Below are 15169 nucleotides of genomic sequence, written 5' to 3' on the forward strand. Positions count from 1 at the left end.
ATTTGTACATATACAAATACATTAAGCACTATGAATACAAATAATGGTACAATAAAAAGGATATGGAGTCATTGATTTAGTTGGAGTAGTGGTGGCATTGTCAGGAAAGTCAGAGCGGAGAGTTGAAAAAAGTCTAGAATCAGCCAGGCCATAGGGATGTATGAGGGGCGTGGTAGGGCATTATAGACAGAGGGAAGCTCACTAGTAGAAGTCCTAAGCTGCAGGAAACTGGGCTTATTCGGGAAATGAAAATTTATGAAATTACAGAGCCAAAGATGGACAGACCCTTAGAGATGAGGATGGAAAGGTGCACAAGGGCCAGTTCACAAATGTTTAAAGTCGCTCTACCTGCACTTTAAGACCTCAAAGGCCAGAGCTTGGTTTGTCTTATCCAAGACAAGCCACTTAATCTGTGTTTGTTAATTCAACAATGAGTGTACAGTATTATTTTGCTCTTTTCAGTCAGTAAGAATAGTTCCCTTACAGATCTGAAGGCTGCTTCATGTACAGTGAGACCCAGGTATTTTACACTTGTCTATCCAACTGCAGCAATCCACTCATTTTCCTTTGTATGTGTTTTTCATTTCCTTGTGCTTGTTCATTGCTCAAAACCCTTCTATTGTAAACATCAGGGTGGCAATAAGAGAAAGGTTTGCTCTTAGGAAAAGTTCAAGAAAGAAAGGAGCCCCCAAACCGCCTGACACTTCTAAGTGTCACTGGTACTAACCATGTATCTCAGTGTCATAAGCGGGAAGAAACAACGACTGCCTGTTCCTGCAACTGGCAAGTGGCCATGCCAAGACTTCCAGAAATAACAGTGAATGAATGAAACCACATGGGAACCAGAGAGTCAGCTTGGAGAGGCAGGGACTTTGTCAAATATTTAAAATAATAAACGCTAACTTTCACTGAGTACTTTCTGTAGTGCCAGGCACTGCTCTAAGAACTTTACATTAACACACATTAATTACTGCTCAAAAACCTTTCCTAACAACCCAGACCTCCCTCACAAATAGGAGTTTTCCTTTCTTCTTTATAAATGAGAAAACTAAGCCCATAAAGATAAAATGTTTACTTAATGCTGTACAGCTCAGTAACTAGCTGAATTGAAATTATTCATGATTCATGTCCGTTGCATTTATGTTCCTATTTCGTTGAAAAACAAACAAAAAATCTCACATTCTCCCAATGTGCCAAATTTCAGTGTAATACTCTGTAGCTCATTTAATACTTACACAATTTCAGAAATGAGGCAATGGAAAGAACATATATGAAGAAAGTGGCTGACAGTCCACAGATGTGAAGCAGTAGAGGCCGAATTTAAAGTCGGGGAGCCTGACTGGAGCTAATGGTCTTAGGAACCGCGCTACATACCGCCACTATCTTTCCTAAGCTGGTATTGTAGAGGGCCTAGCATAGACGTGGGCTCCTGGCGGACTTCATTGAATACTTACTGATAAATGACAGCTTGCAGGCTGTATTAACCGTCCCTTCTAATAGCCCCACTATGCTGGCACATGCTCCTGAGCCCAGACTCTGCCCAGGATTCAGGGCCGCTCTCTACCTGTAAAGCAGTGTAGCTAAGGGGAAGCTGAGCCCCGCAAGGCGTTTTCAGGCAGGACACCCCTTGTCATTCGAACGGTTCTGGTGTGAGCCAGGGTACAGCTGGGCCGCCTGGGGCCCCTTGCCGAGTTTCCGTTCCACTTCAGGTGTCGCTTCCCGCGGCCCATTGGGCCCTTGCCCCGCCCTCTGACGCAAACACAATTATGGGGCGGAGCATCGTCCCCACTAGCCAGGCACACCCCAGTCCCATAGGGAGGCGACTGAGAAAGCCGCCCCCTTACCCGTGGCTGCAGCTGCTCCCGCACAGCCCTGAGCGAGCCGAGGTCCTAGCGTGGCTTCCTCCCGTCTGCCCCGTGACTGCCAGGCACACCTGTTGCACAGCCCTCCCGGAAGTCGGCGGAAAAGGGGCCTGGACCAGCCTCAGAGTCTACACCTGCAGCAGCCCCTAGTTTAGGTTTCTGGACCCCAAGGGTACAACAAGGCTTCCCTCCCCTGGTCCCTGCGCGGGCTCAGAGGATCCGGCTTTGCTGCTGGAGCGCGGCCGAGCTGGGGGCGCGACTGCACCCACCCCCCCACGCCGTGTGCGACGCGCAGCTGCCGCCCAGCCCGTCCCGTCTCCCTCTCCCCATCCCCGTCCCCTTTTTTGCTCTTTGGAGAGACTCCGGAAACGTTTCTCCGGTGGTTAAGGGCACAGATGAACTGGGACGTCGACACCAGCTGGAACTGGAAAATCATCAGGCGGGGAGTGGCCTACCCCGGGAACTTCCTTAACTCTGCTCTTGACCTCCATCCCTTAGAAGCCTGTAGCTTTTCAAGGTGAGGGAGCTTAGACTACAAAAGAGGAGCGGTCGAGATTATTTTATCTCTAGCCCTTGCCCTTCTCCCTTTTCTTTCCAACAAAAGGCATTTTTAAGTTAAGAGTGAAAATGATGAGGCGTGTAGAATGTTTAATTTTTCAGGACGCGCCTTTGATTTTTCAGGGTGTGCCTGCAACTGGCACACCCTCATGCAATAAATAAATACATATTGCACTGACGTTTCTACTGATTTTTTAAAAATTTATTTACACGCCTGAAACCCTAGCATTTTGGGAGGCCGAGGCAGGCGGATCACCTGAGACCAGGAGTTCAAGACCAGCCTGGACAACATGGTGAAACCCCGTCTCTACTAAAAATACAAAAATGAGCCAGGTGTGGTGGTGTGCCCCTGTAATCCCATCTACTGGGGAGGCTGAGGCAGGAGAAAAATCGCTTGAACCCGGAAGGCAGAGGTTGCAGTGAGTCGAGATCCAGCCACTACACTCCAGCCTGGGAGAGAGAGCAAGACTCGTCTCAAACAAACAAACAAAAACACATGATCTTCCAAACAATAACACCATATATGGAGAAAAATGAAACCTCACCCTCTCCATTCCCGGTGCTGTTCTCCCGATTACCCTGCTAACCAAGGTTGACACAAACATTTGAAGACACACTAAGAGAGGTGGGGGGAGGGAAGAAAAAAGGGAATGGAAGGGAGGAAGGTGGAGAAAGAAATTGAGAAAATAAGATAGAAAAAGGAAGAAGGAAAATCGAGCTACCTGAGTTTGAATTCTTTCTTTTTTACTTCCTGTGCCTGTGACTTGTGAAAATTACTTGACAATCTCTTTGCCTGTTTTCTAATCGGTAAAATGAGAGTAGTAATGGTATCTACCACAGAGGATTTTTATGATGATTAAGGAAGTTAAAATATATAAAGAATTTAGAATGATGTTTGCCATAGAGTAAGCGCTCAGTAAATGTTATATACATACAAATAAGTATATACACAGCTACACAGTGTTTTTGTTTTTTTGTTTTTTTTTTACATAAAGAGGATTATTTTATACAGCTCTTCTCTGATGTGTTTTTCACCTAACAGTGCATCTTGGAAATCTCTATCCCTCTAATACAGAACTGTGTCATTGATCTAATAATCTAGGTACTGTTTCCAAGTTTTATCAATTATAAATTGTGCTGTAGTCATCATCTTTGCACATATCTTTCTGTATACAATAAAAAAAACATTTTATTCTTTTACCAATAAGTCATGGGATTTCTAATTTTTCCACACCTCTTCGATTCTAGAATACCAATTCTAAATGTTTCCTACTGTGAATGGCAAGCATTATCTTATTTTTTGTTTGTTGATTCTGATTGTTAATGAGATTGAGGACTTTTTCATATGATTACTAATTATTTTACAGTTTTATTCTGTGATTTGTCTGAAATATAATGCTCATTTTGTTATTGTTGTTGGATTGGGATTTTTTTCCCTCTTGCTGATTTGTTAGTGGTCTTTATATATTGTGGGTATGTTAAATAAGATACAATTCTTTTTTTTTTTTTTTTCTGAGACAGAGTTTCACTCTGTTGCCCCGACTGGAGTGCAGTGGCACGATCTCAGCTCACTGCACACTCCACCCTCCGGGTTAAAGAAATTCTCTTGCCTCAGCCTCCCAAGTAGCTGGGATTACAGGCATATGCCACTATGCCCTGCTAATTTTTGTATTTTTAGTAGAGATGGGGTTTCCCCATGTTGGCCAGGCTGGTCTCAAACTCCTCACCTCAGATCCACCCACCTTGGCCTCCCAAAGTGCTGGGATTGCAGGCGTGAGCCACCATGCCCGGCCAAGATACAATTCTTTTGCCTACTGTGTCTCTGGCTTGAAACTTATTTAAGGTTGCTTTCACCACACAGAAATTTTTATTTTCAGTGATTTTTACTTTTATTTTTTCATTTTGACTTCTGGTCTTTGAATCTTATTTTAAACTGCCTCTTGTACCCAGGACATTTTTATGATTTCTTCCTTTACGTCTATTCCTTATTTCCAAGCAGTTGGGAATGTCTAGTTGTCTTTTTATTATTTGTAATTTTATTGTAGTGCAAGCACATGCTGTGTATGGTTACAGTCATTTGAAATTTTTAAGACTTACATTATGACCTTCTGGTTCACAGCCAATTTTTATAAATATTTTGTACGAGAAATAGGTGTATTCTGCAGTTGTGTACAAGTCATGTATTTTCATTCTAATTGGCTGTGTCAGTTAGTTTTGCTGTTGCTTTAGCTAATATTTGGTTTGATTAATCTATCAATTATTCAAAGAGGTATTAAAATTGAGAAAGTATCTATTTACATTTAGACTTCTTTTCATGTAGTTCATTAGGGCAACTAAAAGAAAATACCATAGTCTGGGTAGCTTATAAACAACAGAAAGTTATTTCTCATAGTCCTGGAGGCTGACAAATCCAACACCAAGGTGCCAGGAGATTCAGTGTCTGCAGAAGGGCCTACATTCTAACACATACATGGCATCTTCTCACCGGGTCCTCACAAAGTGGAAGGGACGAGGGATCTCTCTAAGATTGTATTTTTCTTTCTTTCATTTTTTTTTAAAAGGTATTAATCCCATTTATGAGAGTTCCATTCTCGTGACCTAATCTCACAAAGGCCCCACCTCCTAATATGTCACATTGGTGATTAGGCTTCAACATATAAATTTTGAGTGGACACAAACATTCAGACAATAGCAACATCTGTCTTAGCTCCTGTTGCAACAGCAAAATGGCATAGTCTGGGTGACTTAAACAGCAGACATTTATTTCTCACAGTTCTAGAATTTGAGAAGTCCAAGGACAGGGAACCAGTAAAATCATCATCTGTTGAAGCCTCTCTGGCTTGCAGACAGTCCCTTTCTTGCTGTGGCCTCACATGGCAGAGAGAGAAAGAGCTCTGGTTCTTCTTCCTCTCCTTATAAGGACACTGATCCCATCATAGAATTTTTAACCTTTCCTTAATTTGGCATCACCAATCCCTCCTTTTCTCTGGGGTACTGTAGAAATAAATTGGATCTCCTTATTATATCTGTCTAGACACCCTTTGTGACTTCCTGTGTCTTGCAAAATGATTTGCCACATCTGCTTTTTTTCATATTCTCAAATTTGTTGAAATCTTATGCCCTGCTATATAATCTCATCTTTTTTTCATCCTTGGTTTATTACAGCTTTGGGTTTTGTTTGTTTTGACTATCTTCACTTTTATTGTATTATAGTCCTGAAGAAAAGTACTATCTTTTTTTTTTTTTTTTTTTAAGACAGAGTCTTGCTCTGTCGCCCAGGCTGGAGTGCAATGGCACGATCTCAGCTCACTGCAGCAACCTCCACCTCCCAGGATCAAGCAATTCTCCTACCTCAGCCTCCCATAGTTGGGATAACAGGCACCTGCTACCACGCCTAACTAATTTTTGTATTTTTAGTAGAGATGGGGTTTCGCCATGTTGGTCAGGCTGGTCTTGAACCCCTGACATCAGGTGATCCACCCACCTCGACCTCCCAAAATGCTGCGATTACAGGCATGAGCCACTGCGCCTGGCTGAAAAGTACTATCTTAAATTAGAAAACATCTAGGTATAACATAAACACACTGTTGGTTAACTAATCAAAACTCAGTATCTGCTCTTACATGGTAAAATAGTGGTTTTCAAATTTTAGTATCCCTCAGATTCACCTGGAAATCTTGTTAAAACTCAATATGTGTTTCCCACATCCAGAGTTTCTAATTCAATATATTTGGAACGGGGCTTGAGAATTTGCTTTTCTAATAAATTCCCATGTGACGCTCATGATGGTTTTCCAGGGACTTCACTTTAAGAACCATTGCTAAGTGTTCTATTTTGCTCAGTTCTTGAAGAACAATATGTTCTTGAAAGGAATGTCCTAACCCAAAGAACAAATATTGGTTAATTGTCAGTCATAATGAATCCAGCCTCCTTTCTCTGTTATTGGTATGCATTTGGTTATATTACTTAGATTTGGCTAAAGAAGAGTCATATTGAGAACTTCTAGGAAAGAGTTTCCTGCTTACTTTTGTATATGTATATTAATATGTATCTGTGATGTGCATAAGTACATGTACACACACAGCCCATATATACACTTATGTGAAGACTGACTTGTGGTTATAGAATCTATGAGGGTATTTATTTTTGTTCTTTCCACAATTTCTTACTCAAAACATGCTATCTTTTTTTATTGTTGTCCTCTTCTGCATGGAGGGTTTTATTTCTTTTCAATAGCTCCAAGATTTCCACGGCACCAAGGGGGAAAAGGTATAACACAGCTTTATGGGAAACAGTAGCAGAAGACGATTTCACTTTGCATCATGGTTCTAACATGTGGGTTAAAATTCTGGGTTGGAAATTCTTTTTTTTAAGAATGTTGAATATTGGCTCCCACTCTCTTCTGGCTTGTAGAGTTTCTGCTGAGAGGTCTGTTTTTATCTGATGGGCTTCCCGTTGCAGGAGACCATGCTGTTCTCTCTGGTTGCCCTTAGTAGTTTTTCCTTCGTTTCAGCCTGGGAGAATCTGATGATTATATGTCTTGGGGTTGATCTTCTCGTGGAGTATCTTAATGGTGTTCTCTGTATTTCCTTAATTTTCATGTTGGCTTGTTTTGCTAAGTTGGGGAAATTCTCCTGGATGATGATATCATGAAGTGTGTTTTCCAACTTCTTTTCATTCTCCCTGTCTCCTCCTCGTACTCCAATCAATCTTAGATTCAGTCTTTTTATAAAGTCCCATATTTCTTGGAGGCTTTGTTCATTCCTTTTCACTCATTTTTTCTCTATTCTCGTCTGCATGTCTTATTTCAGTAAGGTGCATTTCAAACTCTGATATCCTTTCTTCTGCTTGGTAGATTTGACTATTGATACTTGTGTATGCTTCATGAAGTTCTTGTGCTGTGTTTTTCAGCTCCATCAGGTGGTTTTTGTTCCTCCCTAAACTGGTTATTCTAGTTAGCAATTCCTCTAATCTTTTATCAAGGTTCTTAGCTTCTTTGCATTGGGTTAGAACATGCTCCTTTAGCTCAGTGTAGTTTTCTATTACTCATCTTCTGAAGCCTACTCCTGTCAATTCATCCATCTGATCCTTTGTCCAGTTCTGTGCCCTTGACGGAGAGATGTTGCAATCATTTGGGGGGAGAAGAGGCACTCTGGCCTTTTGGGTTTTCAGCATTTTTTCACTGATTCTTTCTCATCTTCATGAGTTTGCCTAGTTTCAGTCTTTGAGGCTGCTGACCCTTGCATGGGGTTTTTGTAGGGGCCATTTTGTGGGGGCCATTTTTGCGGGGGTCATTTTTGTTGTTGTCAGGTTCCTTTTCTGTAGGGCTGCTGCAGTTTTCTGGGGGTTCACTTCAGGCCCTATTCATCTTACATTCCTACTTCTTTACATGCTTCATAACTTGTTGAAAACCATATATTTAGAATAATATAATATGACAACTCTGGAAACTGTATATGCCTCCTCCCCAGGCTTTGTTGCTGGTGGTGTTTTTCCTATTGTGCATTTGGTTACTTTCCTCAACTAATTATATTAATCTATTTTCTTCATTATGTGTGACCACTGACATCTATTCAGTTAGCATAGTAGTCATTCAATAAATGGATATAGTTTTCCTTAAATATGCTGCATAAGTGTATCTCCCAGCCTTTTCCAAAAGGTCCTTTTTGTGTTTGGGGACACTATTTCAAAGATCCAATAGATGATTTACGGTATTGGCTTAGCTTTCTCTCACTGCTTGCACAGAAACTTAAGGTCAGCCAGACGAGAGAGATTATTTCTTTTTCAGGTCTTTTCTGGGTATGTGCACAGTTCTGTACGTGCACATTTCCTTCTAAATTTTCAGGAGTATGTCAGAACTTTTAAAAGCCCCTATTAATATCTCATTCCCCAGATTTTCTTTTTAAGAGATTTTGGTCAGCTTCTTCTATGCCCCAACTATTATTAAGGCCTCACTCAATTGTCATGTTAAACAATTACCACTAATTATTTCCCAAAACTGTTATATAGCGGGGGCGCCGGGGGGTGCACTGGGCCAAGAAGGCTGACAAGAAGCAGCTGCAATCAAAGGCTCCCACCAAGAAGAACGAAGACAGTGTGTGAATCCTGCACTGGGAACCGAGGTACCCTCAGGTTCTATCAGGACTGACTAGGCAGTTGGTGTGACTCACAGAGAGTAAGGAAATGCAGTGTGGTGCATCGCCTCACCTGAGAGCCACATGGGGCAGGGGGAGCTCCCATTCCCCAGCCAAGGGAGGCGCTGAGTGTTCATGCTACCCAGCCTGGGGATCTGTGCTTTTTCCATGGATCTGTGCAACCCATGGATCATGAGATCCCACTTGTGAGCCCATGCTACCAGGGCCTTGGGTCCCAACCGCAGAGCTGCATAGATTCTCAACAGCTACTCAGTTGGCATCTGCCTAGGACTACTGAGCTCCCAGGGGGAGGGGAAGCCTTCATCACTGCAGCTGCCTGCTGCCTAAGACAACTGAGCTCCCCAGGAAAAGGACAGCAGCCCTCACTGCAGCTGCTAGCTGCCTAAGATGCTGAACTACTGGGAGGAAAGGGCAGTAGCCATCACTACAGCTCCAGCCCACTGTATTTCCCCGGCTGGTGCCTGGGAGACTCAAAAGGCACTCCCCATAGTACAGCACACCAGCTGTGGCAGATCACGACCAGACTGCCTCTTTAGGGCAGACCCTGATGCATCCCTCCTTACTGGGTGGGGCCTCCCTGCAAAAACTTCAGCCACTCCAGCAAGGGGCTTAGGGCCAAAATTCTGGTCTCCCTGGGCCTGAGCCCCTAGGGGGAAGGATAGTCATGGTCTCCATGGACCAGCTGACTTAGTCTTTCCCCCTGGTAGCTCTGAGGAATCCAGGCAGCCCAGATGAGTGGGATTCCCCTAAGAACAGCACACCTGTTGGACCAAGGGACAGCCAGGGTACTTTGTTAAGTGGGTCTCGGATCTCATGCCTCCCAGCTGGGTGAGAACCCCCGCAAACAGAGGTCACCAGACACCTTATACCAGAGTGTTGCTGGAGTTCTGTTCCAAGATGGCCAAATAGGAACAGCTCTGGTCTGCAGCTCTCAGCGTGATCGATGCAGAAGATGGGGGATTTCTGCATTTTCAACTGAGGGACCTGGTTCATCTCATTGGGACTGGTTGGACAATGGGTGCAGCCCACGGAGGGTGACCCAAAGCAGGGCAGAGCGTTACCTCACCTGGGAAGTGCAAAGGGTGGGGGGATTTCCCTTTCCTAGCCAAGGGAAGCCGTGAGAGACTGCACCTGGAAAAAGGGACACCGTGGCCCAAATACTGCACTTTTCCTATGGTCTTAGCAACCAGCAGACTAGGAAATTCTCTCCCGTGCCTGGCTCGGCACGTCCCACACCCATGGAGCCTTGCTCACTGCTAGTGCAGCAGTCTGAGATTGACCTGCGAGGCAGCAGCCTGGCTAAGGGAGTGGTGTCAGCCATTGCTGAGGCTTGACTAGGTAAACAAAGTGGCCAGGAAGCTTGAACTGGACAGAGCCCACCACAGCTCAGCAAGGCCTACAGCCTCTATAGATTTCACCTTTGTGGGCAGGGCATAGCTGAACAAAAGACAGCAGAAACTTCTGCAGACTTAAACACCCTGTCTGACAGCTCTGAAGAGAGCAGTGGTTCTCCCAGCACAGCATTTGAGCTCTGAGAATGAGCAGACTGCCTCTTCAAGTGAGTCTCTGACCCTCGTGTAGCCTAACTGGGAGACACCTCCCAGTAGGGGCTGACACACACCTGATACAGGCAGGTGCCCCTCTGGGATGAAGCTTCCAGAGGAAGGATCAGGCAGCAATATTTGCTGTTCTGCAATATTTACTGTTCTGCAGCCTCCACTGGTAATACCCAGGCAAACAGCGTCTGGAGTGGACCTCCAGCAAACTCCAACAGACCTGCAGCTGAGGGACCTGACTGTTAGAAGGAAAACTAACAAACTGAAAGGAATAGCATCAACATCAACAAAAAGGACATCTACACCAAAACCCCATCTGTAGGTCACCAACATCAAAGACCAACGCAAAGATAGGGAGAAACCAAAGCAGAAAATTCTAAAAACCAGAGCACCCCTTCTCCTCCAAAGGATCGCAACTGCTCACCAGCAATGGAACAAAGCTGGATGGAGAATTACTTTGACGAGATGACAGAAATAGGCTTCAGAAGGTCAGTAATAACAAACTTCTCTGAGCTAAAGGAGCATGTTCTAACCCATTGCAAGGAAGCTAATAAAAACCTTGATAAAATGTTAGATGAATGGCTAACTAGAAAAAACAGTGTAGAGAAAACCCTAAATGAACTGATGGAGGTAAAAACCATGGCATGAGAACTTCAAGATGCATGCACAAGCTTCAGTAGCTGATTCGATCAAGTGGAAGAAAGGGTATTGGTGATTGAAGATCAAATTAATGAAATAAAATGTGAATACAATTTTAGAGAAAAAAGAGTAAAAAGAAACTAAAAAAAGCCTCCAAGAAATATGGAGCTATGTGAAAAGACTAAATCTACATCTGATTGGTGTACCTGAAAGTGACGAGGAGAATTGAACCAAGTTAGAAAACACTCTTCAGGATATTATCCAGGAGAACTTCCCCAACCTAGCAAGGCAGGCCAATGTTCAAATTCAGGAAACATAGAGAACACCACAAAGATACTCCTCGAGAGGAGCAACCCCAAGACACATAATTGTCAGATTCACCAAGGTTGAAATGAAGGAAAAAATGTTAAGGGCAGCCAGAGACAAAGGTCGGGTTACCCACAAAGGGAAGCCCATCAGACTAACAGCGGATCTCTCGGCAGAAACTCTACAAGCCAGAAGAGAGTGGGGGCCGATATTCAACATTCTTAAAGTAAAGAATTTTCAACCCAGAATTTCATATCCAGCCAAACTAAGCTTCATAAGTAAAGGAGAAATAAAATCGTTTACAGACAAATAAATCTTGAGAGATTTTGTCACCACCAGGCCTACCTTACAAGAGCTCCTGAAGGAAGCACTAAACATGGAAAGGAAAACCGGTACCAGCCACTGCAAAACATGCCAAATTATAAAGACCATTGATGCTAGGAAGAAACTGCATCAATTAACGGGCAAAATAACCAGCTAACATTATCACGACAGGATCAAATTCACACATAACAATATTAACCTTAAATGTAGATGGACTAAATGCCCCAATTAAAAGACACAGACTGGCAAATTGGATAAAGAGTCAAGACCCATCAGTGTGCTGTGTCAGGAGACCCATCTCACGTGCAGAGACACACATAGGCTCAAAATAAAGGGATGCAGGAAGATCTACCAAGCAAATGAAAAGCAAAACAAAGCAGGGGTTGGAATCCTACTCTCTGGTAAAACAGAATTTAAACCAACAAAGATCAAAAGAGACAAAGAAGGCCATTACATAATGGTAAAGGGATCAATTCAACAAGAAGAGCTAACTATCCTAAATATATATGCACCCAGTACAGGAGCATTCATAAAGCAAGTCCTTAGAGACCTACAAAGAGACTTAGACTCCCACACAATAATAATGGGAGACTTCAACACTCCACTATCAATATTAGACAGATCAATGAGACAGAATGTTAGCAAGGATATCCAGGACTTGAACTCAGCTCTGCACCAAGCAGATCTAATAGACATCTACAGAACTCTCCACCCCAAATCAGTAGAATATACATTCTTCTCAGCACCACATTGCACTTATTCTAAAATTGACCACATAATTGGAAGTAAAGCACTCCTCTGCAAATGTAAAAGAAGAGAAATAACAACCAACTGTCTCTCAGACCACAGTACAATCAAATTAGAACTTAGGATTAAGAAACTCACTCAAAACCACACAACTACATGGAAACTGGACAACCTGCTCCTGAATGACTACTGGGTAAATAACAAAATGAAGGCAAAAATAAAGATGTTCTTTGAAACCAATGAGAACAAAGACAAAGTGTACCAGAATTTCTGGGACACATTCAAAGCCGTATGTAGAGGGAAATTTATAGCACTAAATGCCCACAAGAGAAAGCAGGAAAAATCTAAAATTAACACGCTAACATCACAATTAAAAGAACTAGAGAAGCAACAGCAAACACATTCAAAAGCTAGCAGAAGGCAAGAAATAACTAAGATCAGAGCAGAACTGAAGGAGATAGAGACACAAAAAACCCTTCAAAAAATCAATGAATCCAGGATCTGGCTTTGTGAAAAGATCAACAAAACTGATAGACCACCAGCAAGACTAATAAAGAAGAAAAGAGAGAAGAATCAAACAGACGCAATAAAGAAATCATAAAGGGGATATCACCACCGACCCCACAGAAATACAAACTACCATAAGAGAAAACTATAAACACCTCTGCGAAAATAAACTAGAAAATCTAGAAGAAATGGATAAATTCCTGGACACATACAACCTCCCAAGACTAAACCAGGAAGAAGTTGAATCTCTGAATAGACCAATAACAGGCTCTGAAATTGAGGCAATAATAGCCTACCAATGAAAAAGAGTCCAGGACCAGATGGATTCACAGCTGAATTCTACCGAGGTACAAAGAGGAGATGGTACCATTCCTTCTGAAACTATTCCAATCAATAGAAAAAGAGGGAATCCTCCCTAACTCATTTTATAAGGCCAGCATCATCCTAATACCAAAGCTTGGCAGAGACACAACAAAAAAAGAAAATTTTAGACCAAAATCCCTGATGATCATTGATGTGAAAATCCTCAATAAAATACTGGCAAACCGAATCCAGCAGCACATCAAAAAGCTTATCCACCATGATCAAGTCAGCTTCATACCTGGGATGCAAGGGTGGTTCAACATATGCAAATCAATAAACATAATCCATCACATAAACAGAACCAATGACAAAAAACACATGATTAGCTCAATAGATGCAGAAAAGGCCTTCAAAAAATTCAACAGCTCCTCATATTAAAAACTCTCAATAAACTAGGTATTGATGGTACGTATCTCAAAATAATAAGAGCTATTTTGGACAAACCCACAGCCAATGTCATACTGAATGGGCAAAAACTGGGAGCATTCCCTTTGAAAACTGGCACAAGACAATGATGCCCTCTCTCACCACTCCTATTCAATATAGTGTTGGAAGTTCTGGCCAGGGCAATCAGGCAAGAGAAAGAAATAAAGGGTATTCAATTAGGAAAATAGGAAGTCAAATTATCCCTGTTTGCAGATGACATGATTGTATATTTGGAAAACCCCATCATCTCAGCCCAAAATCTCCTTAAGCTGATAAGCAACTTCAGCAAAGTCTCAGGATACAAAATCAATGTGCAAAAATCACAAGCATTCCTATACACCAATAACAAACAGACAGCCAAGTCATCAGTGAACTCCCATTCACAATTGCTACAAACAGAATAAAATACCTGGGAATTGAACTTACAAAGGATGTGAAGGACCTCTTCAAGGAGAACTACAAACCACTGCTCAAGGAAATAAGACAGGACACAAACAAATGGAAGAACATTCCATGCTCATGGATAGGAAGAATCAGTATTGTGAAAATGGCCATACTGCCCAAGGTAATTTATAGATTCAATGCCATTCCCACCAAGCTACCAATGACTTTCTTCACAGAGTTGGAAAAAACTACTTTAAAGTTCATATGGAACCAAAAAAGAGACTGCATTGTGAAGACAATCCTAAGCAAAAAGAACAAAGCTGGAGGCATCACACTACCTGACTTCAAATTATACTACAAGGTTACAGTAACCAAAACAGCATGCTACTGGTATAAAAACAGATATATAGACTAATGGAACAGAACAGAGGCTTCAGAAATAACACCACACATCTACAACCATCTGATTGACAAACCTGACAAGAACAAAAAATGAAGAAAGGATTTCCTATTTAATAAATGGTGCTTGGAAAACTGGCTAGCCATATGTAGAAAGCAGAAGCTGGATCCCTTCCTTACACCTTATACAAAAATTAATTCAAGATGGAATAATGACTTAAATTTTAGACCTAAACCATAAAAACCCTAGGAGAAAACCTAGGCAATACCATTCAGGACATAGGCATGGGCAAGGACTTCATGACTAAAACACCAAAAACAATGACAACAAAAGCCAAAATAGACAAATTGGATCAATTAAACTAAAGAGCTTCTGTATGGCAAAAGAAACTACCATCAGAGTGAGCAGGCAACCTACAGAATGGGAGAAAATTTTTGCAATCTACCCATCTGACAAAGGGCTGATATCCAGAATCTACAAAGAACTTAAACAAATTTACAAGAAAAAAACAAACAACCCCATCAAAAAGTGAGCAAAGGATATGAACAGACACTTCTCAAAAGAAGACATTTATGCAGCCAACAGACACATGAAAAGATGCTCATCATCACTGGTCATCAGAGAAATGCAAATCAAAACCACAATGAGATACAATCTCATGCCAGCTAGAATGGTGATCATTAAAAAGTCAGGAAACAACAGATGCTGGATAGGATGTGGAGAAATAGGAACACTTTTACACTGTTGGTGGGACTGTGAATTAGTTCAAACATTGTGGAAAACAGTGTGGCAATTCCTCAAGGATCTAGAACTAGAAATACCATTTGACCCAGCCATCCCATTACTGGGTATATACCCAAAGATTATAAATCAGGCTGCTATAAAGACACATGAACACGTATATTTATTGCAGCACTATTCACAATAGCAAAGACTTGGAAC

The 15169-nt window shown here is 42.1% G+C and overlaps 1 protein-coding gene across 30 annotated transcripts in view, besides 1 other annotated feature; it reads right to left on the reverse strand.

The window, feature by feature from the left end:
- PLSCR2 (phospholipid scramblase 2) overlaps positions 1-15169 on the reverse strand; it is a 104572-nt gene that overhangs the window by 76231 nt on the left and 13172 nt on the right. For 5 of the 30 annotated variants that reach the window (NR_172561.1, NM_001395438.1, NM_001395440.1 and 2 more), the window contains exon 1: positions 1565-1911. The exons of 15 other annotated variants lie outside the window; for them this stretch is intronic. The gene's annotated coding sequence lies outside the window, so the exon portion shown is untranslated. Of the gene's footprint in view, positions 1-1235; positions 1912-15169 lie in introns of those variants that run through there. 10 more of the 30 variants (NM_001395439.1, XM_047448610.1, XM_024453671.2 and 7 more) reach the window with 3 other exon arrangements.
- Positions 1900-1969: an enhancer, noted in NCBI's record as "active region_20672". NCBI's record gives its function as "activates an Ori minimal core promoter by ATAC-STARR-seq in GM12878 lymphoblastoid cells {active_cell/tissue: GM12878}" and the evidence as "EXISTENCE:reporter gene assay evidence [ECO:0000049][PMID:35858748]".

This window comes from Homo sapiens, chromosome 3 (assembly GCF_000001405.40).
Source record: "Homo sapiens chromosome 3, GRCh38.p14 Primary Assembly".
NCBI lineage: Eukaryota > Metazoa > Chordata > Mammalia > Primates > Hominidae > Homo > Homo sapiens.